The 22422-nt window shown below is 38.3% G+C and overlaps 1 long non-coding RNA gene across 1 annotated transcript in view, besides 1 other annotated feature; it reads right to left on the bottom strand.

Moving 5' to 3' along the window:
- RDUR (RIG-I dependent antiviral response regulator RNA) overlaps positions 1-22422 on the bottom strand; it is a 57068-nt gene that overhangs the window by 8211 nt on the left and 26435 nt on the right. The gene's annotated exons all lie outside the window — the stretch shown is intronic.
- Positions 1757-1806: an enhancer, noted in NCBI's record as "active region_20187". NCBI's record gives its function as "activates an Ori minimal core promoter by ATAC-STARR-seq in GM12878 lymphoblastoid cells {active_cell/tissue: GM12878}" and the evidence as "EXISTENCE:reporter gene assay evidence [ECO:0000049][PMID:35858748]".

The following is a 22422-nucleotide window of genomic DNA, read 5'->3' as shown; positions in this document are numbered from 1 at the left end:
AATGTTTTTAGGGACTTAAACTATTTCAGTATTACACAGATAAAACTGGGAGAAACTTAGGGAGGTTTTAAAGGAAGATAAATTCAGGCTTGGACACAATGATTTCTGAATGAGTTCATAATAATGAAGGCATCTAAGAAGGCAGCTAAAAATAGTGTTTGAACGCAGGTGAAAATTGGGGGCTGGAGAAATAGAGGCAAGCATTATCTACAGAGAAGTAGGAGTTGGGATCATAAACTAAACCTATTCTCCAGGGAAAAAAGAAAGCATAGAAAGATAGTAACATAATACTTAGGGCCAGCTTAAGAAGCTCCTTCAGAGGCTGCATGACCTTGTAGCAATATTTTAAGCAGCACTCAAAGCTTCTAGCATAGGCATCTTGGTATGGTGAAAGGAGCCAACTCATAGCACGTACTTTCTCCTGTGTGCAGAAATTTAAAAACTAAATAAGTTTTCATGTCTTGTTCTGTTTTCATCCATATGTTTATTGTACTTCACGCTTCCCTGCTGAGGTGATTTTTTATTTTTCTGTTTGGCCCTCCTCCATCACTTCAAACTACAATGCTCCCCCATTTCTGAAACTCCCACAACCCTGTTTAGCCTTCCACCTATGACAATGGTCAGTCTCCCACAGGCCTTTGGTTGATTTCTCTCTCTCACCTTTTTTTTTTTTTTTTTTTTTTGTAGTCAGTCTCACTATGTTACCCAGTATGGTCTCAAACTCCTAAGCTCAGGCAATCATCCCACCTTGGCCTCCCAAAGCACTGGGATTACAGGCATGAGCGACCACACCCAGCCAACTTTGGTTGATTTCTAAATGCCCTTCCTGGCTCACATTTTCCTGTGATGAAACTGAAACTTGTTATTACTGATGACAAGCAACTGACTCTTTACCAATGAATACAGCCAAAAAGCTGTGAGACACTATCTCTGGGTCAGGCTTGATCTCTGCAAGCGCAGTTGTCGGGGCTGGGAGAAAATACTATCTCCTCAGAAGCATCAACATCACCACTTCAACACTAGAGACAAAAAGGGTACCACTATGAGAACACCACCCTTTGAAAAATGACCCACCTTGGCACCTGTGCTCAACTAGGAGTCAAAACCAGACTCTTACTTTAGTCGCTAGCCAGACAACACTCTAAGTCTCTAGAAACTACAGCATCATGTACAATAAATTACCTTTTTCCTTATGGGACCCATTTCTGTGTTTCTGGGTATGTGTGTGTGTGTGTGTGCGTGCACATGTGTGTGTGTTTAACTTAAGGATTCTTTAATTTTTCTCAACTCAGAGGCTGTGTAGATATACTATCTCATCTAGTTTATAGTTTATTGCTGCCTATCTATCTCAACATATAAAATATGTTCATGCTGTGTTTTAGAACATTAATTATTTTCTCCTCTAGGGAAGCAAACAGTCTTGAACACAGGGAACTTCAACAAACATTCAAGCATTCAATAACTGGCCAGTGTATAAAGTACTTAAAATTTTTAAAATATTCAAAAATATTTTTAAATGTTAACTGAGAAATTTTTTAATTAAACTAACTGAGCACACACTTCTGCATTTCAAGTCCAGAATGAATATATGGCTTGTTCAGCCCACTTCTGCCTTCTCATGAACAGCAAAATCTAGACAAAAGTCATGACTAAATGACTCTTCTGTGGTTACTCTGGCTTCACAGCCAGAAGAAAAGTCAATTGCTATGTAACCACAGGGCTTATCTGTTTGTTCATTAAAAGTGCTGTAAATAACAGTTTCTGTGATAGTAGTTTTAATTAACAAAAATTAACAAATTAATTTTAATTTTAATTTGCTGTGGCTCACTCCTGTAATCCCAGCACTTTGGGAAGCTGAGGTGAGCAGATCACTTGAGGTCAGGAGTCCAAGACCAGCCTGACCAACATGGTGAGAAACCTCGTTCCTACTAAAAATACAAAAATTAGCCAGGCGTGGTGGCACATGCTTGTAATCCCAGCTACTTGGGAGGCTGAGGCAAGAGAATTGCTTGAACCCAAGAGGCGGAGTTTGCAGTGAACCGAGGTTGTGCCACTGCACTCCAGCCTGGGCAACAGAGCGAGACTCTGTCTCAAAAAAAAAATTAATTAAAAAAATTCACAGCATTTAGTTAACAAAATCCAAATTGAATAGACCATGTAAATATCTGATCAGTCTTTTGGCAATTTGCATATAATACACAAACTAATCATGAAACGAGAAATTCTGCAGTTGCCCTAGATTTCGTACTGATGGAGAGCAGAAGACCTAGACACAGCCAGGCCCAGCAAGAAACAATATGATGCCACCTGACCTCAGGAGAGTACACTGAAGTTCTCCTCCCCATCCACCCCTCAACTTTATCTTCCTCTTACTCACCTCTAGTGAATTACCTTGATTCCTAGTTCACCAAGGTAGTTAAAGCCATGTTAAGATTCTCCATCTGCCATTTCATTTCTCTAGCTTGGCCCTATACTCATCCTACTAGTCTTTCTGCCTGCAGTTCTCCCAACTTCATAGCACTCCAATTTTCTATTCCCACCTGATCTACCTTCCTAAATCCCACTTTCCATCATGTCACTCCTCTGCTCAAAGGCCTTCAAAGAATCTACATGGCCCTCAGTATGGCCCTCCAAAACTTGACGCTGGCTACCTCCAACATAAATGTTTTCAGCCCAGATCATTCCTTTCTATATTCTACACTCTGCATAGACTGTCCTTTCTTCCTCCTTATTCCAAGACCTCTAGAAAACGGAAACTGGAGCAAAGATTACAGGGTATTCCTTTATTTGGGGAAGTACAATCCTGGGACAACAAGAGTGGAGGAGAAGGACAATGAGACAGAGAAAGACATCAAGCAATGTGAGATAATGCATAACAATGGCCTCTTCTTCACAATGAGCTGGAAGAGTCTCAGCCACTCCCTTGGAGGTCACCTGCTCAGCTACCCAGCATGTCTCTAGACAGACTGATCAGAGAAGCTGTGTCTCACATTAGTCTATTAGAGGAAGGAAGGGAAAGAGTGTGGTTGGTCCTCCATATCCTTGAGTTCTTCATCTGTGAATTCAACCAACTGTAGATCAAAAATATTTTTTTTTCTTTTTTTCTTTTTCTTTTTTTTTTGTTTTATTACACTTTAAGTTTTAGGGTACATGTGCACATTGTGCAGGTTAGTTACATATGTATACATGTGCCATGCTGGTGCGCTGCACCCACTCAAAAATATTTTTTAATTGCATCTGTACTGAACATGTACACTTTTTCTTGTCATTATTCTCTAAACAACACAGTATGACAACTATTTACTTAGCATTTATATCATATTAAGTACTGTAAGCAACCAGAGAGATTTAAAGTATGTGGGAAGATGTGTACAGGTTATATGCTAATATTATGCCATTTTATACTGGGGCATTGAGCATTCATGGATTTTGGTATCCAAGGGAGGTCCAGGAACAAATCCCCCATGGATACCAAGGGATGACAATACTTATCTGCCCAAATTTTTCTAGCTCCTGTTTTTCTCTGTCAAAAGTCAACTTTCCCACACTTCTAGATTGTATTCTCTGGACTCTTTGGGAAGCTGCTTCGGAAGCCACAGCTCATGCGTAGCCTGTGTGATACAATATACAAATCTCAAAGTGGTGGAAGAAGCCGGAGACTCCAGGCAAGAAACTGGTCTGTCTCAGGTGCTAGACACTCATGGACCTGTCATGAGGTTGTGTCATGAGGCGCAGCAGCAGCAGCTAAGGCAGAGCAAATGGGTGGAAGAGGTTAAGGTTCTAGAGACAGATCAGCCAAGAGAATCTGCAGAACTGTATATGTTCAATATGCCTTCTACTCTTCTAGCCAAACAGCCCAGCCATAATGTTTGCCCACTGGAGCTTTCGGTTCTTGAATTATATTGTGATTGTGAAGGTTAATTAAGTATGTGTGTGTGTGTGTGTGTGTGTGTGTGTGTGTGTGTGTGTGTTGTCTCCCCAATTAAATTATAAGCTCATTAATAGCAGGTACCAAGCCTACATTCCCACGTATACCCATCTCTCAACTAGCATAGTATGAATGCATAAATGTCATCCCATCAGTAGTTGTTTGGTGAGGGAAAGACTGGAATATCCTAGAGAACAGTGGATCTAAGAGTCACTTTAGCCCAAGTGTACACAAGAATGGCCCCTTTTGGCTCCACAAAAGTATAGTTTGCACTTTGGAAAAAATCCTAAAGGACACCTAAATCATTCCCTCATCTCATCCTGTGTTTTCATTTCCTGAACAGTGAAAAATTAAAATGATATAGGTTCCAAAACTACTCAGAATAAATTGGCTCTTGTTTTTTTAAAAAGAGAGAAAATGAACTCTTTTTCTATCCAAGAGGAAATTAATAAGAATTAGGTGTTTGTTCATCATTCAAATTTTACCTTTTTCTGTAAACAAATATATATTTCGATTCAAAACCATGCAACATGATAAAACGGTTAAGACCACAGACTCTGGAGATAGTCTCTGGTTCAAATCTCAGCTCAGCCACTTACCAGCTGTTAAGAGTAACTTAACTTCTCTGTGCTGTCATTTACTCACAGATAAAATGAAGGTAACAGCACCTACCACAAAGGGTTATTATGAACATAAAATGAATAGGCATATGTAATGCCTGAAACATGGCAAGCCGTATATTAAATGTTTGCTTAATAAATAAACGAGGTAATGGGACTTGAAAAGGAAAGACAGAAACAAGCAAAATTATATACTGTTAAGAACTAGAAGGGTTTTTGGAAGGCAGCTATTCTAACTTTCTTTTGTATTCCTTACTTGATATCTCTCTGTCTTTAAGGATTATTACTAATTCCTTCCCCTACAATATTGCAGCACTTGACTTGTATATAAATCTCCTTGTTCTGGTTGGTTTAATATGTGATTGCAAATTCTTTGAGACCAGAGACTCTAATAGTAAATAGCACATTCCTGATCATATATAAGTGTGGAAATTCTAGTGAATAAATAAAGCAAAAGGTATGAAGAGGTGGAGTTAAGAAGCTCAGCTTAAGTTTAAAAAGTAAGTTACTAACTAGATAATATCTAGCCTGCACTCCAAGAAAAGCATTTTATTGACTCATTGAAAAATATGTGCGTCCCACCCAACAGGCTGATCTTTTTATTTCCCCATTCTTCTGTCACCACAGCAGGTGTGGCTTATCATTCTGGACTCATCTTGACTGTTCTATTTGCCCGGTTACCTCTGCTTCTTTCTCTCTGTCTCTTAGAACTCACCTCACTGGGTCCTTACCACCTGGCTCTATTTCCTAGCTTTACGGCTGCTCTAGAGAGATCACAGAATGGCCCAGGGCAAACCCCAAACCAAACACGTTCCAGCTTTTATTGCAACTAACATTTTGCTATCCCTAACCAAAGACCTGGAAGTGTCTCTTCCAAAGGAGGAGATGTACCTTGGGGGTCACATACTGGCCCCATTACTACTTTCTGCAGTTCCTTCCATGGTATTCCTCATCACCACAACCCCTACCCAGTTAACCACTTAAGGATCCAAATATAAAATTATAAATGTAATATGAGGATGTTTCAATACACCACCTTTATAAAGAGATCACTTACTCAATTCCATTTGGGTTGACCTAATATCTGTAGCCATTGGGCCACATCAGCCTTAGAAAGAAATCATGGTGCCATGTTTCATACAGAGGCATTTTATTTCAAACCCACCCCCAAGTTTGCCTGGAACTTAAATCCTATCAGATTCTGTATCTTCTCTAGAGTTCTGGGTTTCAACATTCTATTGTGTATGGATTTGTACCATGGGTTGGAAGAAGAGGGAAACCTTTTCTCATCCACTGTGATATTTGCTATATCAAAGGAAGCTAATAGGAGGACGTCTTCCAGAGAAGAGCTTTGAACTAAGCCTCTGAGATATGCATTTATCATGACTTTCTGGAAGAATATGATGAGCAACTTTCTCAAAGCAAAGTGCACATCTTACTAGAGAACATGGGATTAGGGAAGATGAATTTCTACTCTCTTGTTCACTATACCCTGTGTCCGTAGGATTTCCTGCTAAAATATTTGTGATAACTTAACCTCAATGCACAGGTTAGGCAATTGGACCACTAGGTCCTTTGAGAATATAAAATATAATAAAATTTTAGAGGGACCTTAAGATGGTGGATTCTAATTTTTGGACTTAAAGTAAGGAAACATGACCAAGAAAGGTAAAATTAGATGGTCACAAAGCTCATTAAAATCAGAATTTAGGATTTGAATCCAGACCTCCTAATTATATTGACACTGGGTTCTAGTGCAATGATACATAGTAATAAAAGTAACCTGAGAAATTATAACATTTTATAAACTATTAACACAACCAATCAATGCTTAATAGCAACAATGTTTATTATTTTATTACAAATTATTCTCTGTGTAACTCTAGTGTGTTAAACTCTTTGGACAATCAGACAAGGCTCAGGTGTGTCTGAGCTAACAGGAACAATTAACAGTTTGTTTATTCTTTCCTTCCCATGAGTTGCATTTTATAAACTTATAACAAGGTTAATCATACTACAGAGAAGAGGTGAGTTTGTATCTTGCCTTCCCTGGGCAATATAACAAACCTTATAAGTGGGGAGCTAAATGATAAGAACTCATCGACATAAAGAAGGAAACAATAGACACTGGGGTTTACTTGAGGGTGGAAGGTGGGAGGAGGGAGAGAAGCACAAAAAATAACTATTGGGAACTAGGTTTAATACCTGGGTGATGAAATAACCTGTACAGCAAACCCCTGTGACACGAATTTACCTATATAACAAACCTTCATGTGTACTCCTGAACCTAAAATAAGAATTTTTTTAAACTGCATCAGTGACACATAAAGATAGAAAACCAATTAAAATGCTGGCATACTTTTACATACATTGGATGATTATAGGTAGCCACAGAGATGAGATTCCCAGGTATAAAGGGACATGTTGTTTAAGTGGGAATGTTCCTGGCATTTTTCCTGCCTTTTCCCATTTACATGGGGTCCTGGCTTCTGCCAACCCTGCGCTCGGAGAATCTCTCTGCCATAGCCAGACTCACCCTGTCTTTTGTAATACAGAATCAGAAGGAAATGGTGAGGGAGATTCAACACAAAGGACGCAGGAAAAGTTCTCCAGCGTTGGAAAAGAGAAGCACCACAAGGTGCAAAAGAAGAGGATGAGAAATGAAAGAGAACAGTAAGAGGGGTGGCTCTGAGCGGTGTATCTTCTTCCAGAACTTAAGAAATACAAATTCAGTATTTGTATTTAAGTAATTCTAAAGTATTTTAGAATTAGTTCTTGCTTGCTGGACTATGTTTTATTAATCAAGCATCACTCTGAAGTAAAGCCATGTGGGCAATTATGAGAAATATAGTTTAAGTTATCTTCAGTTTTAAATTCTCTTAAATTTATATTCTATTTTTATTGTTCCTGCCTTTGCTTTTTGAGAAAATGGTCCTTTTATTAACACATAAAAGTTCTAGATCTTATTGTATAATAGCTTGTAGAAATCATTCTCGTAATACATAGTCTTTCACATGCACGTGAATGTTCATTGCAGCACTGTTCACAATAGCAAAGACATGGAATCAACCTAAATGCTCATCAGTGACAGATTGGATAAAGGAAATGTGGTATATATACACCATGGAATACTATGCAGCCAAAAAAAAGAATGAGATCATGTCTTTGCAGGAACATGGATGGACTGGAGGATATCATCCTTAGAAAACTGACACAGGAACAGAAAACCAAATACTGCATGTTCTCACTTATAAGTGGGAGCTGAATGATGAGAACTCATGAACACAAAGGAGGGAGCAATGGACACTGGGGTCTACTTGAGGGTGGAGGGTGGAGGGTGGAGGGTGGGAGGAGGGAGAGGAACAGAATAAATAACTGTAGGGTACTAGGTTTAATACCTGGGCGATGAAATAACCTGTACAACAAACCCCTGTTTACCTATATAACAAACCTACATATGTACTCTTGAACCCAAAATAAAAGTTAATAAAAAAACTGCATCAGTGGACATAAAGATAGAAAACCAGTAAAAAGGTGGCACACTTTTACATGTATTGGATGATTATAAAACACATAAATACTGCAATAAATGTGAAACTTTACCTTTAAAAATAAAATAAACCATTAGACTATTAAAATATATATAATAAATATATATTTAAAATATATATAATATATGTTTATAATAATATATAATGTGTAAATATTTATACAAATATAATGATTTATAAATTTAATTTATATTTAATTTATAGTAATTATATTAATATAAAATACATAATACTTGTAATATTGTATATTAATATATATTTTTTTGAGACGGAGTCTCACCCTGTTGCCAGGCTGGAGTGCAGTGGCACAATCTCGGCTCACTGCAACCTCTGCCTCCCAGGTTCAAGCGATTCTCCTGCCTCAGCCTCCTGAGTAGCTGGGACTACAGGCACGCAGAACCACACCCAGCTAATTTTTGTACTTTTAGTAGAGATGGGGTTTTGACATGTTGGCCAGGATGGTCTCAATCTCTTGACCTCGTGGTCCACCCACCTCAGCCTTCCAAAGTGCTGGGATTACAGGCGTGAGCTGCCTCACCCAGCCTAATATAATTTTTGTATATAGTCTTCAAACTATTCAGTCTCAATTGATAAAATAATCACACTTTTAAGATTTCCTAGGAAATTAAATATTATTAATTATGTAAAAACCTTTAATTCATTTAGAGGTTTATATCAGAATTATTTATAATAGCATAAAAGCAGGAAACAATTTAATACTGAATAATAGTGGAATAAAAAATTACACAAGCATTAAACATTATATAATAAATGCTTATTAAAAATGTAATAGCACTGGGAAAGCTTAAAATATAGGGTTATATACAAAAGAAAGGATTCAGAACACGGGCACATCAATCCTGTCCAGCAGATTCAGTGGGCTTGATGTAGAGTCCAATATCTATTTTTATATAAGCTCCAAGGTGCAACTCTGCAGATCAGCATAGAAGCTGTGTAGGGAAAACCTTCAGACACAAATTATGAGCTTCCACCAACACTTCTATCCTCTCCAAGACACAATAAGAAAGAAGTTCCCACACATCTCACCCCCTCTGAAGAACCAGAAAAGGACAGAAAGAATGAAGAAGGAAAGAAAGGACGAAGGAAGAAAAGAGGGAGGAGAAAGGGAGAGACGTGGAAGGAGAGAGAGAGAAGATGACAAGATAAGTTCAAATATGTTAGAAATCACAATAAATTTGAAGGCACTAAATTTACCTATTAAGGTGCTCAAGTTAGGAAGAAAGCACGAAACCATGCTAGTTTTAGATGTAAAAGAAAATGACAAAATGTTAAAAAATACAGATGTGAAAAGATACAGTGTGCAAATCCTAAGCGAAAGAAAGCAAATGTGGCAATGTTAATAGCCAATGTCTAATCAAGACAAAGGAAAAAAATCTATTTAGAAAGTTTTGTGTTCTTTACATAGTTTTGAAATATATCAATCAAAATTCACAAGAATTATAAGAAAATTACAAATCGGTAAACAATGGGAGACTTTTTACACTTTTCTCAGAATGTACATATCTTAGAAAATTTAATTAAAATAGAGCATAGAAAAGTCTGTTCCTTTCTGCTATGAACTATAGCGAGTTGAAAAATATCCAAAGAAAGATTCTCTTCACAGCAGTAATGAAACTATAAAATGCCTAGGAATAAAATTAATAAGAAACGTGTAAGACCTAAATAAAGAAAAGAAACTTAAAGATGAGCAAAATCACCACATAACCGGATAGGAGGACACAGAGTACACTAATATAAATTTTCTCCAGTGAAATTAAATGAAAATCAGATAAATTCTGGTGTAGCTATACTATGGAACAATTTGCTATTCGTTTGTTTAAAACAAAATAAAAGAAGTAAAATTCTTACCTGCTAAGAGGCATTAAAGAGTTAGGCATTTAAAAGAAATTAAAAACATTAGAAAGAATTATGGGAGGATATAATTACAATATTAGAGTAGTAAAGTTCTTCATAAAACCTAAAATTCATTTTTAATTGACTAATTATACAACTATGTAAAAATTTAAACCTTCTGCATTATTTTTTTTAAAAAACACCAAAAACAAAAACAAGATAAGCAACCAACCAACAAACTGGAAGAAAATATTAGCGATACAGATAAATCAAAAGAAAAAACGCTTAATAACCAGAATATAAAACAGGGTATGTGAATTAACAAGACACCGACCATTCTTATATCAAAGGATACAAATTGGTGATTCACAGAAGAGGAAATACAAATAATTATATCAACAAAAAGAGTAACATTTAGTGAGCACTTAATATAAACCAGAAACCTTTCTAAGAACTTTGCAATTGTTATCTCATAAAGTCTTCATAACATCCCTTGAGGCACAGAGAGGTTAAGTAACCTGCCCACCAGTAATTGTTTTGACGGAAGTCGCCAAGTGGCAGTTGGAGTCTGCAACCAAACACTATTACTCCAGAAGCTTTGCTCTTACTGACTACCTTTTTCAAGAAATGAATACATGAAAATACACTTGACATCACTAGTATCAGGGAAATGAAAATTAAAACAGGAGTTAAGTTTTTAACTATCAGAGTGGCAAAAATTAAGTAAACTGATAATTTTGGAAACAGATACCCTTTATGCTTTGTCTGGGACATGATCTGCTGCAGCCTATTCATGGAGCAATTTGACATTATCTATCAAAGTATAATGTGCTCATAACTTTTGAAACAAGTTTTCCACTTTTGTGCATTTTCTAAAAAGATGTTTGCAAACTTGCACAAGACTGTTCAGTTCTTGGAAACACATGCCCTTTGGAAAAATACCTAAAGAGATGTTTGAAAATTTGCACAAGAACGTTCAGTGCAGCTCTGTTTGTAAAACTGAAAAACTGGAAATAAGTTAAATGTCCATCAATAAGGAGAATGCTTAAATAAACAACGGTGTAGCCATTCTGTGGAAGACCAAGAAGGTGTGAAAAAGAAGAACACAATTTCTATGCACTGTCATGGGAAGACAAGTTGCTCCCATACATTGCTGGAGGGAAGTAAATTGATACAGCCTCCATACCTCCATGCAGGGCAATTTGGCAATATCTGTTGTAGGGATGGCAAAATTTAACCTCCATCCTCTTAGTGTCCCTGCTGGGCCCGGTAATTAAATTTACATAAGATAGATTAACAGAAGAAAAGCACACAGATTTATTTATTTAAGTTTGACATGGCATGGGGAGCCCTCCCTCAGAAGGAAATGAAGACCCAAAGAAGTAGTTAGTCAGTTGCTTATATATTAAATTAGGCAAAAAACAGTAATTTGTAAAGAAGGAATTAAATTGTGTTGGTAGGCTTAAAAGATGAGTTAAGCCTTGTTAAAAAAAAAAAAAGGTTGTACAGAATTCTCTTGGTCTCAACTTCTCAGCTTTTGAGGATCTTTTTCATGGGAAATTTCATCTGTTGCTTTTAAGAAACAGCAGAGTATTCTTTTTGCCCCTACTGTTTTTCAAGTGCCTTTAACCTAAATAGTCAATATACCAGAGTGACATATTTTTAATTGTTTCACTGTCAAGATTATAAATGCACACAATTGATCCAGAAATGCCACTTCCAGAAATTTATTCTATAAATGTTCTCTAGTATGCATGAAATGCCCTATATACAAAGCTCTTTATTGCCACAATTTTTCAATAGGAAAATATTGAAAACAAACTAAATCAGTAGGTGACAGGTTAAATAAAGGATGAGAAATTCACAAAATGCAATACTACACAATGCTATTTATAAAATGCCTTAGTATCAACTGTCTGACATACTATACTACTACAGCTATTAAAAGAAAAAGAGGAAGCTTTTTATCTGCTAGTATGGGATAATCATCAAGACACATTAAGTTTAAAAAGAACAAGGTGCAAATAAATATGTAGAGTATGCTACAGTTTGTTTTTTGAAAGCAGGGGTTTACAGACTTGTATATGCAAAGAATAACTGTAGGCAGTCACACAAGAAACTGGTAACACTGGTTGACTCCAAGGAAAACTACATGATTGAGACACTGAAGTAGTAAGTGAGAGACTTTTCACTTCTTTTCAATCTTTTGGATTTATACATATATAGCATGTAATTATTTAATGTGTACATAAAATATGCGTATAAAATATTTAATATGCAATATTTACATGTATTAAATATGTGATATGTATATAAAATACACATTTTTAAGATAAAGCAAGCTGCAGAACAATACATGCAATGTGAGCTCTAGTAATATTAAAAACTATATTTTATTATTTTGTTATGTATGTATTCATGTACATATGTGTACAGAAAAGGTTCCAACAGTATCCCTGTGGGGGAGTGGAAAGGCAGAAAGAGGATTTTAATCTTTTTACCATTTATGGCTTAATATTGTAAAAATTTTTGTAAAGAAAACACACACATATATATACATATCACATATATATGTATGTATATATGTATGTATGTATGTAGTCTCATAAAAGAAGTTAAAAAAAAAACTTCCAAAAACATGAATGGGAATAAGAAATCCTTAGTTCTCATTCCTGGTCTAGGAATGGACCTTGGGCAAATCACTTAACCCCCTGCAGCCTCAATTCCCTCATGTATAAAGTGAAAGAGTTGGACTAAGTGATACTTGAAGCCATTCCTGCTTGATAGTCCAAGAATTGAATCTATTAATTCATAACACAATACAATGGTAAATGAATTATTAGCCAGCCTTGAAATTTTAAGCAAGAGCATGATGTGCTACCAATTTAAAGAGGAACTATGTTTTAGTAGAAAACTCTCGAAAAATTTTTTAGAATCAGGAGAATGAAACTAATAGTAGGGTTTCAGGGGTAGAGAAGGTTTTCTTTAGAAACCCTTTCTGAAGTCCCTCCATCACAGACACCTAATTTTAAAGCTGGTCTTGGCTACACTCCAGTCATGATAGTGTTACATGACCACATAAGGTCATGGCTTTCACAAAGGCCTTCACAGCTCTGAACACATTAATCAAATTGTCCCATCAGCTTTCCAGAATATTGTGTAATACTAACCTCCTTTTCTAGCTTATCTTTCAACTAATTTTTACTCTTTTTTGTTGACCAGAGCTGTTACTCATTTTTCTCCCTAAAGTCAGGAGATAAATACAATTTTAGATCTTTCAACCACAGATTTTAAACTCTGCCCTATATGAAAACTAGTTTAGCTCATCCTATAGTTATATTGCTGTTGAAATATGGAAAGAATATGTACCAGCATGATTTCAAAAGTTAGCTAAGCAGGACTTTTCTCGTTTTGTTTTATTTTATTTATAATGTTGTTTTATTTTAGATTCAGGGGTACATGTACAGGTTTATTAAAAGGGCATTTTGCGTGATGCTGAGGTTTTGGTCATGATTGATCCCATCACCCAAGTAGTAAGCATAGTACCCAATAGTTAGTTTTTCAACACTTGCCCCATTCCCTCTCTCCCCACTATTAGAAATCTCCCATGTTTGTTGTTCCCACTTTTATGTCCATGAGCATCCAATGTTTACCTCCCATTTGTAAGTGAGAATATGTGATATTTGGTTTTCTGTTTCTGTATTAATTCACTTAGGATAATGGCCTCCAGCTGCATGCATGTTGCTGCAAAGGACATATTTTCACTTTTTTGTGGCTGTGTAGTATTTCTATTTTTTGTGGCTAGTGTATATGTACCACATTTTATTTATTCAGTCCACTATTGATGGATATTTTGGTTGGTTCCATGTCTTTGCTATTGTGAATGGTGCTGCAATGAACATGCAAGTGTATGTGTCTTTTTGGTAGAACAATTTATTTTCTTTTCGATATATACCCAGTCATGGGATTGCTAAGTGGAATGGTAGTTCTAAGTTCTTTGAGAAATCTCCAAATGGCTTTCTACAGTGGCTGAACTAATTTACATTCCCTCCGGCAGTATATAAGCATTCTCATTTCTCCACAGCTTAACTAATATTTGTTGTTTTTTGAATTTTTATTAATAGCCATTCTGACTGGTGTGAGATGGTATCTCACTGTGGTTTTAATTTGCATTTCTCTAATGATTAGTGATGCTGAGCATTTTTTCATGTTTGCTGGCCATATGTATGTCTTGGTTTGAGAAGTATCTGTTTATGTTCTTTCCCCATTTTTTCTTAATTTTTAGTTCTAGGGTACATGTGCAGGATGTGCAGGTTTGTTACATAGGTAAACATGTACCATAGTGGTTTACTGTACCTGTTAACCCATCACCTAGGTGTAAAGCCCAGCATGCATTAGCTATTTTTTCTAATACTGTCCCTCCCCCACCCAACCCCCAACAGGCCACAGTGTATGTTGTTCCCCTCCCTGGGTCCATGTGATCTTATTGTTCAGCTCCCACTTATAAGTGAGAACATGGAGAACATGCAGTGTTTGGTTTTCTGTTCCTGTGTTAGTTTGCCGGGGATAATGGCTTCCAGCTTCATCCATGTCCCTGCAAAGGACATGAACTCATTCCTTTTTATGGCTGTATAGTGTTCCATGGTATATATATGCACCACATTTTCTTTATCCACTCTATCAGTGATGGGCATTTGAGTTGAGCCCGTGTCTCTTCTATTGTGAATAGTGCTGCAATGAACATACGTGTGCAGGTATCTTTGTAACAGAATGATTTATATTCCTTTGGGTATATACTCAGTAATGGGATTGCTGGGTCAAATGGTGTTTCTGGTTCTAGATCTTTGAGGAATCACCACACTGTCTCCCGCAATGGTTGAACTAATTTACATTCCCACCAACAGTGTAAAAGCGTTCCTGTTTCTCCACAACCTCACCAGCATCTGTTGTTTCTTGACTTTTTAATAATGTCCATTCTGACTGGCGTGAGATGGTATCTCATTGTGATTTTGATTTGCATTTCTCTAATGATCAGTGATGTTGAGCTTTTTTTCATGTTTGTTGGCTATGTGAATGTCTTCTTTTGAGAAGTGTCTGTTTATGTAGCAGGACTTTTTTAATATCAAGTAGTTCATGGGTCAGAATTGAAGAGTAGAAAAGAAAAGAAGGGGTCACATCAAAGGGAGACTTAGAAATCTTTCTGGCTCACAGTCTCAAAACATCTTTTTCTGGCATCACCACTATTATAAATTTTGTGAATGCCTGTTCTAGGTCAGAAAAGAAACTATAATAAACCTTGACCCTAAAAGTTGTGTAAGATTTTTTTGAGGTTCTGGTCCTACAGGAGCCGACTCTCCTATGCATAAATGTCGAAGCCTATCTAGAAGGATTGTAGATAAAAGAGCACTAGTTTCAATGTTAAAAGTCCTCCATTCAAGTTCTGGGTCTCATTCACTAGCCATGTGACCTTAGGCCAGGCACTTATTCTCTTACGGCCACAGCTTTGTTTTGTTTCATCCTCCAGGATATCAGCTCACATTTCTCTGCACTCCTTACAGGGCATACAGTATTAAGCAGGGACTCAGCAAGTATTCACTCATGAGTCTAACCCCATGGACCTAGCATATTCTCATGGCTAGGACTTCTATGCAGAGATTTAACAGATCCAGATGAATTCTGGGTTACAATCCAACTCTGTTCCTACCATGGGTCAGGATAGGAGTTAAAATTCAGTCCCTGGAGTTAGAAACCCCTGGGTTCTAATTCTGGCTTGTCATTTTTTAGTTCTCTGACCTTAGACAAGTTATTGCTTTCCCTCTCTGAGCCACCAGTAATACTGGTACCTACTTTGTATATGGTTATTATGAGAATTAAATAACACGATGCTTGTAACATATACAAAATACAGCACATGGGCTGGGCCCGGTGGCTCACACCTGTAATCCCAGCACTTTGGGAGGCCGAGGTGGGCAGATCACTTGAGGTCAGGAGTTCGAAACCAGCCTGCCCAACATGGTGAAACCACATCTCTACTAAAAATACAAAAATTAGCTGGGTGTGGTGGCACACACCTGTAATCCCAGCTACTCAAGAGGCTGAGGCAGGAGAATTGCTTGAACCCAGGTGGCAGAGGTTGCAGTGAGCCAAGATCGTCCACCGCATTCCAACCTGGGCTACAAAGCGAGACTCCGTATCAAAAAAAAAAAAAAGAAAAAAAAAAAGTACAGCACATGGTAAATGCTTGAAAAAGTTTAATTACCAATATTGTTGCTGCCCTTGAAATAAACATAATGGTCATATCCATCTTTTCTCTGGCTACAGGCAAAGCACTTCTTGCAATTAGCCTCCTCGGCAATGGCATGTTATGGAAACAGTATCTGAGTTAAGTTCTAAACTTTCTCTGGTGAGCTTTTCAGTATGAAAGCCAAGTTCCAACTTGTACCTATCTATCTGTCATCTTCTAGAAGCATTTGTCATACAATTTTTGTTACACCAAATGCAATAAATAGTGCTTGAATAGAAGCATAATAAGTAAAAGCATATCAGCAAATTTTTTATTCTAATTGCTGTTTTTCTTTCAAGCCCAATTTAGATGCCACTCTCTTCTGTGAATCCTACTTCCATCTCCCTGCCTTTCATGCCCCATGCCCTGAAGTTACTCACTCATTTTCTCTTTTCTGTACCTTTGGCATGTTTTCATTGTAGTAAGTAGGATTGTGTGTTGTCAAATATTGATGCCTGTTTCCTCTTCTAGATTGTACATGCCTCAGGGGCAGGTTCTAGGTCTGATTCATCTTTCATCTCCTACTACCACAATGCCTAGAACACACTTTTAAAAGTGTTTGTGGAATAGATTAGAAATAAATTGAATTTTGAGGTTCAATACGAGAAATATCTGGAAAAATTATCCCCAAAATGGCTAGAAAACAGCCTACAGAGAAATCCAGAGGAAAAAAAGTACAGAAACAAGATTGGGGGATTGGTGTAGATATAATATAGCAAGTAGAACATTCTGGGTTTGTAAATCAATCCCTGCTCTATTTTGGTTTCCTCTTCTGTGATCACATGTCTGCTTGTGAATAAGTCAAAGTGGAAACGACCTTAGACTATGAATTTAGAGACCTGGGTTTAGTCCCAGCTCTGCTATCAACTGCCAATGTCACTTCCTGTCTCTAAGTCTGTGTCAGACATAATGGATCCTAAGGTCTCTTCAAACTTCTCTTCACACAAGCACAATATCTGGATCCATTGCCATTAACCTCATTCTACAGCTAGGACAATTGAGACACAAAGACCACAACCAACTCATTCAAGAATTTTACAGCAACTGGCACCTATAGCTAGTGATTGAAGATGGATGGAAAGACTCCCTGTCTGGAGCCCAGCCCTGCAGAGTCACCCTACACCTGGTGGGACAAGGGAGTTATAGGAAAAAGCAAAGCTTCTCTGACCTCCACCAAGAACAGGAAGTTCCCACATCTGTGGGAGCCAACTAATTGCATAGTATCAGCTTTCAGTACAATCGCAGCTCCTGGATTCCTGGTAGACATGCAAGAATGTCTTAATTAATGTCCCTGTGCAGGGATGTCTTAATCAATGTTAAGCAATTGGCAGAAATTGCTCAAGCCCCACCTATCAAAACAGGAGTCTTGTCTAGGTCTTCCTATTTTCCCCAGTCACTGGAGCTTCACTGGTGTCTGACAACTAGATCCAGGACCAAGTCCAAAGTTGAGAACCTGATTGGCCACTTGACTTAAACACCCCATTCAAACAGAATACTTGAAAACCTTGAAAAAGAATAATCTGAGGCAGAGGTGGGCGGATCACCTGAGGTCAGGAGTGTGAGACCATCCTGGCCAACATGGCAAAACCCCATCTCTACTAAAAATACAAAAATTAGGCCAGGCGTGGTGGTTCACACCTGTAATCCCAGCACTTCGGGAGGCCAAGGTGGGCAGATGACAAGGTCAGGAATTCAAGACCAGCTTGGCCAACATGGTGAAACCCCATCTCCTCTAAAAATACAAAAATTAGCTGGGTATGGTGGTGCACACCTGTAATGCCAGCTACTCAGGAGGCTGAGGCAGGAGAATTGATTGAACTGGGACCTGCAAGGCAGAGGTTGCAGTGAGCCGAGATTCCACCACTGCACTCCAGCCTGGCAACAGAGCGAGACTCTGTCTCAAAAAAGTAAATAAATAAAAATAGCAAAATAGCCGAATAGGAACACCTCTGGTCTACAGCTCCCAGCAAGATTGACGCAGAAGACTGGTGATTTCTGCATTTCCAACTGAGGTACCTGGTTCATCTCACTGGGACTGGTTGGACAGTGGGTGCAGCTCACAGAGGGCAAGATGAAGCAGGGCAGGGCGTCACTTCACCCGGGAGGCACAAGGGGTTGGGGGTTTTCCCTTTCCTAACCAAGGGAAGCCGTGAGTGACTGTACCTGGAGGAACAGTACACTCCTGCCCAAATACTGCGCTTTTGCCATGGTCTTCGCAACTGGTAGACCAGGAGATTCCCTCCCATGCCTAGCTCAGTGGGTCCCACGGCCACAGAGCCTTGTTCGCTGCTAGCACAGCAGTCTGACATCAATCTGGGATGCTGGAGCTTGGCAGGGGGAGGGGCATCCACTATTGCTGAGGCCTGAGGCGGTTCTATGCTCACAGTGTACACAAAGCGGCAGAGAAGCTTGAACTGGGTGGAGCCCACCACAGCTCAGCAAAGCCTACTGCCTCTCTAGATTCCACCTCTGGGGGCAGGGCATATCTGAACAAAAGGCAGCACAGCTTCTGCAGACTTAAATGTCCCTGCCTGACAGCTCTGAAGAGAGAAGTGGTTCTCCCAGCATGGTGTTCGAGCTCTGATAACAGACAGACTGCCTCCTCAAGTGGGTCCCTGAACCCCGTGTAGCCTGACTGGGAGACAACTCCCAGTAGGGACCAACAGACACCTCATACAGGTGGGTGCCCCTCTGGGACAAAGCTTCCAGAGGAAGGATCAGGCAGCAATATTTGCTGTTCTGCAGCGTCCGCTGGTGATACACAGGCAAACAGGATCTGGAGTGGACCTCCAGCAAACTCCAATAGATCTGCAGCTGAGGTGCCTGCCTGTTGGAAGGAAAACTAACAAACAGAAAGGAATAGCATCAACATCAGCAAAAAAGACATCCACACCAAAACCCCATCCATAGGTCACCAACATCAAAGACCAAAGGTAGATAAAACCATGAAGATGGGGAGAAACCAGAGCAGAAAGGCTGAAAATTCAAAAACCAGAACGCCTCTTCTCCTCCAAAGAAACACAACTCCTTGCCAGCAAGGGAACAACATGGACTGAGAATGAGTTTGATGAGTTGACAGAAATAGGTTTCAGAAGGTCGGTAATAACAAACTTCGTCAAGCTAAAGAAGCATGTTCTCACCTATCACAGGAAGCTAAAAACATTGAAAAATGGTTAGACGAATGGCTAACTAGAATAACCAATGTTGAGAAAAGCTTAAATGACCTGATAGAGCTAAAAACCACAGTATGAGAACTTTGTGAAGCACACACAAGCTTTAATAGCCAATTCCAACAAGAGGAAGAAAGGATGTCAGTGGTTGAAGGTCAAGTTACTGAAATAAACAGAGAAGACAAGATTAGAGAAAAAAAGAGTGAAAAGAAACAAACGAAGCCTCCAAGAAATATGGGACTCTGTGAAAAGACCAAATCTACGTTTGATTGGTGTACCTGAAAGTGATGGGGAGAATGGAACCAAGTTAGAAGACACTCTTCAGGATATTATCCAGGAGAATTTCCCCAACCTAGCCAGGCAGGCCAACATTCAAATTCAGGAAATATAGAGAACACCACAAAGATACTCCTCAAGAAGAGCAACCCCAAGAGACATAATTGTCAGATTCACCAAGGTTGAAATGAAGGAAAAAATGTTAAGGGCAGCCAGAGAGAAAAGTCGGGTTACCCACAAAGGGAAGCCCATCAGACTAACAGCAGATCTCTCTGCAGAAACCCTAAAAGCCAGAAAAGAGTGGGGGCGAACATCCAACATTCTTAAAGGATTTTCACCACAAAATTTCATATCCATCCAAACTAAGTTTCATAAATGAAGGAGAAATAAAATCCTTTACAGACAAGCAAATGCTGAGAGATTTTGTCACCACCAGGCCTGCCTTACAAGAGCTCCTGAAGGAAGTACTGAACATGGAAAGGACAAGCAGTACCAGCCACTGAAAACACATGCCAAATTGTAAAGACCATTGACACTATGAAGAAACTGCATCAATTAACAGGCAAAATAACCAGCTAACATCATAATGACAGGATCAAATTCACACATAACAATATTAACCTTAAATGTAAATGGGCTGAATGCCTCCAATTAAAAGAAACAGACTGGCAAATTGGATAAAGAGTCAAGACCCATTGGTGTGTTGCATTCAGGAGACCCATCTCACATGCAAAGACACACATAGGCTCAAAATAAAAGGGTGGAGGAAGATCTACCAAGCAAATGGAAAGCAAAAAAAAAAAAAAAAAAAAAAAGCAGAGGTTGCAATCCTGGTCTCTGATAAAACAGACTTTAAACCAACAAAGATCAAAAGAAACAAAGAAGGGTATTACATAATGGTAAAGGGGTCAATTCAACAAAAAGAGCTAACTATCCTAAATATATATGCATCCATTACAGGAGCACCCAGATTCATAAAGCAAGTTCTTAGAGACCTACAAAGAGACTTAGAGTCCTACACAATAATAATGGGAGACTTTAACACCCCACTGTCAATATAAACAGATCAATGAGACAAACAATTAACAAGGATATCCAGGACTTGAACTCAGCTCTGGACCAAGCAGACCTAATAGACATCTACAGAACTCTCCACCCCAAATCAACAGAAAATACATTCTTCTCAGCACCACATTGCACTTATTCTAAAATTGACCAAATAATTGGAAGTAAAACACTCCTCAGCAAATGTAAAAGAACAGAAATTATAACAAAGTGTGTCTCAGACCGCAGTGCAATCAAATTAGAAATCAGGATTAAGAAACTCACTCAAAACCACACAACTACATGGAAACAGACCAACCTGCTCCTGAATGACTACTGAGTAAATAACGAAATGAAGGCAGAAATAAAGATGTTCTTTGAAACCAATGAGAACAAAGACACAATGTACCAGAATCTCTGGGATACATTTAAAGCAGTGTGTAGTGGGAAATTTATAGCACTAAATGTCCACAAGAGAAAGCAGGAAAGATCTAATATTGACACCCTAACATCACAATTAAAAGAACTAGAGAAGCAAGAGCAAACAAATTCAAAAGCTAGCAGAAGACATGAAATAACTAAGATCAGAGCAGAACTGAAGGAGATAGAGACACAAAAACCCTTCAAAAAATCAATGAATCCAGGAGCTGGTTTTTTGAAAAGATCAACAAAATTGATAGACCGCTAGCAAGACTAATAAAGAAGAAAAGAGAGAAGAATCAAATAGACACAATACAAAATGATAAGAGGATATCACCACTGATCCCACAGAAATACAAACTACCATCAGAGAATACTATAAACATCTCTATGCAAATAAACTAGAAAATCTAAAAGAAATGGATAAATTCCTCGACACATACACCCTCCCAAGACTAAACCAGGAAGAAGTTGAATATCTGAACAGACCAATAACAGGTTCTGAAATTGAGGCAGTAATTAATAGCCTACCAACCAAAAAAATCCAGGACCAGACGGATTCACAGCCAAATTCTATCAGAGGTACAAAGAGGAGCTGGCACCATTCCTTCTGAAACTATTCCAATCAATAGAAAAAGAGGGAATCCTCCCTAACTCATTTTATGAAGCCAGCATCATCATGATACCAAAGCCTGGCAAAGGCAAAACAAAAAAAAAGGGAAGTTTAGGCCAATATCCCTGATGAACATCGATGTAAAAGTCCTCAATAAAATACAGGCAAACCAAACCCAGCAGCACATCCAAAAGCTTATCCACCACAAACAAGTCGGCTTCATCCCTGGGATGCAAGGCTGGTTCAACATATGTAAATCAATAAACATAATCTATCACATAAACAGAACCAAAGACAAAAACCGCATGATTATCTCAATAGATACAGAAAAGGCCTTTGACAAAATTCAACAGCCTTTCATGCTAAAAACTCTCAATAAACTAGGTATTCATGGAATGTATCTCAAAATAATAAGAGCTATTTATGACAAATCCACAGCCAATATCATACTGAATGGGCAAGAACTGGAAGCATTCCCTTTGAAAACCAGCACAAGACAAGGATGCCCTCTCTCATCACTCCTATTCAACATAGTATTGGAAGTTCTGGCCAGGGCAATCAAGCAAGAGAAAGAAATAAAGGGATCCAACCAAAATGCCCATCAATGATAGGCTGGATAAAGAATATGTGGCACATATACACCCTGGAATACTATGCAGCCAT

This window comes from Homo sapiens, chromosome 3, assembly GCF_000001405.40.
Source record: "Homo sapiens chromosome 3, GRCh38.p14 Primary Assembly".
Lineage (NCBI taxonomy): Eukaryota > Metazoa > Chordata > Mammalia > Primates > Hominidae > Homo > Homo sapiens.
The sequence above is the reverse complement of the archived record's forward strand: the minus strand, read 5'-3'. Positions and strand labels throughout refer to the sequence as shown.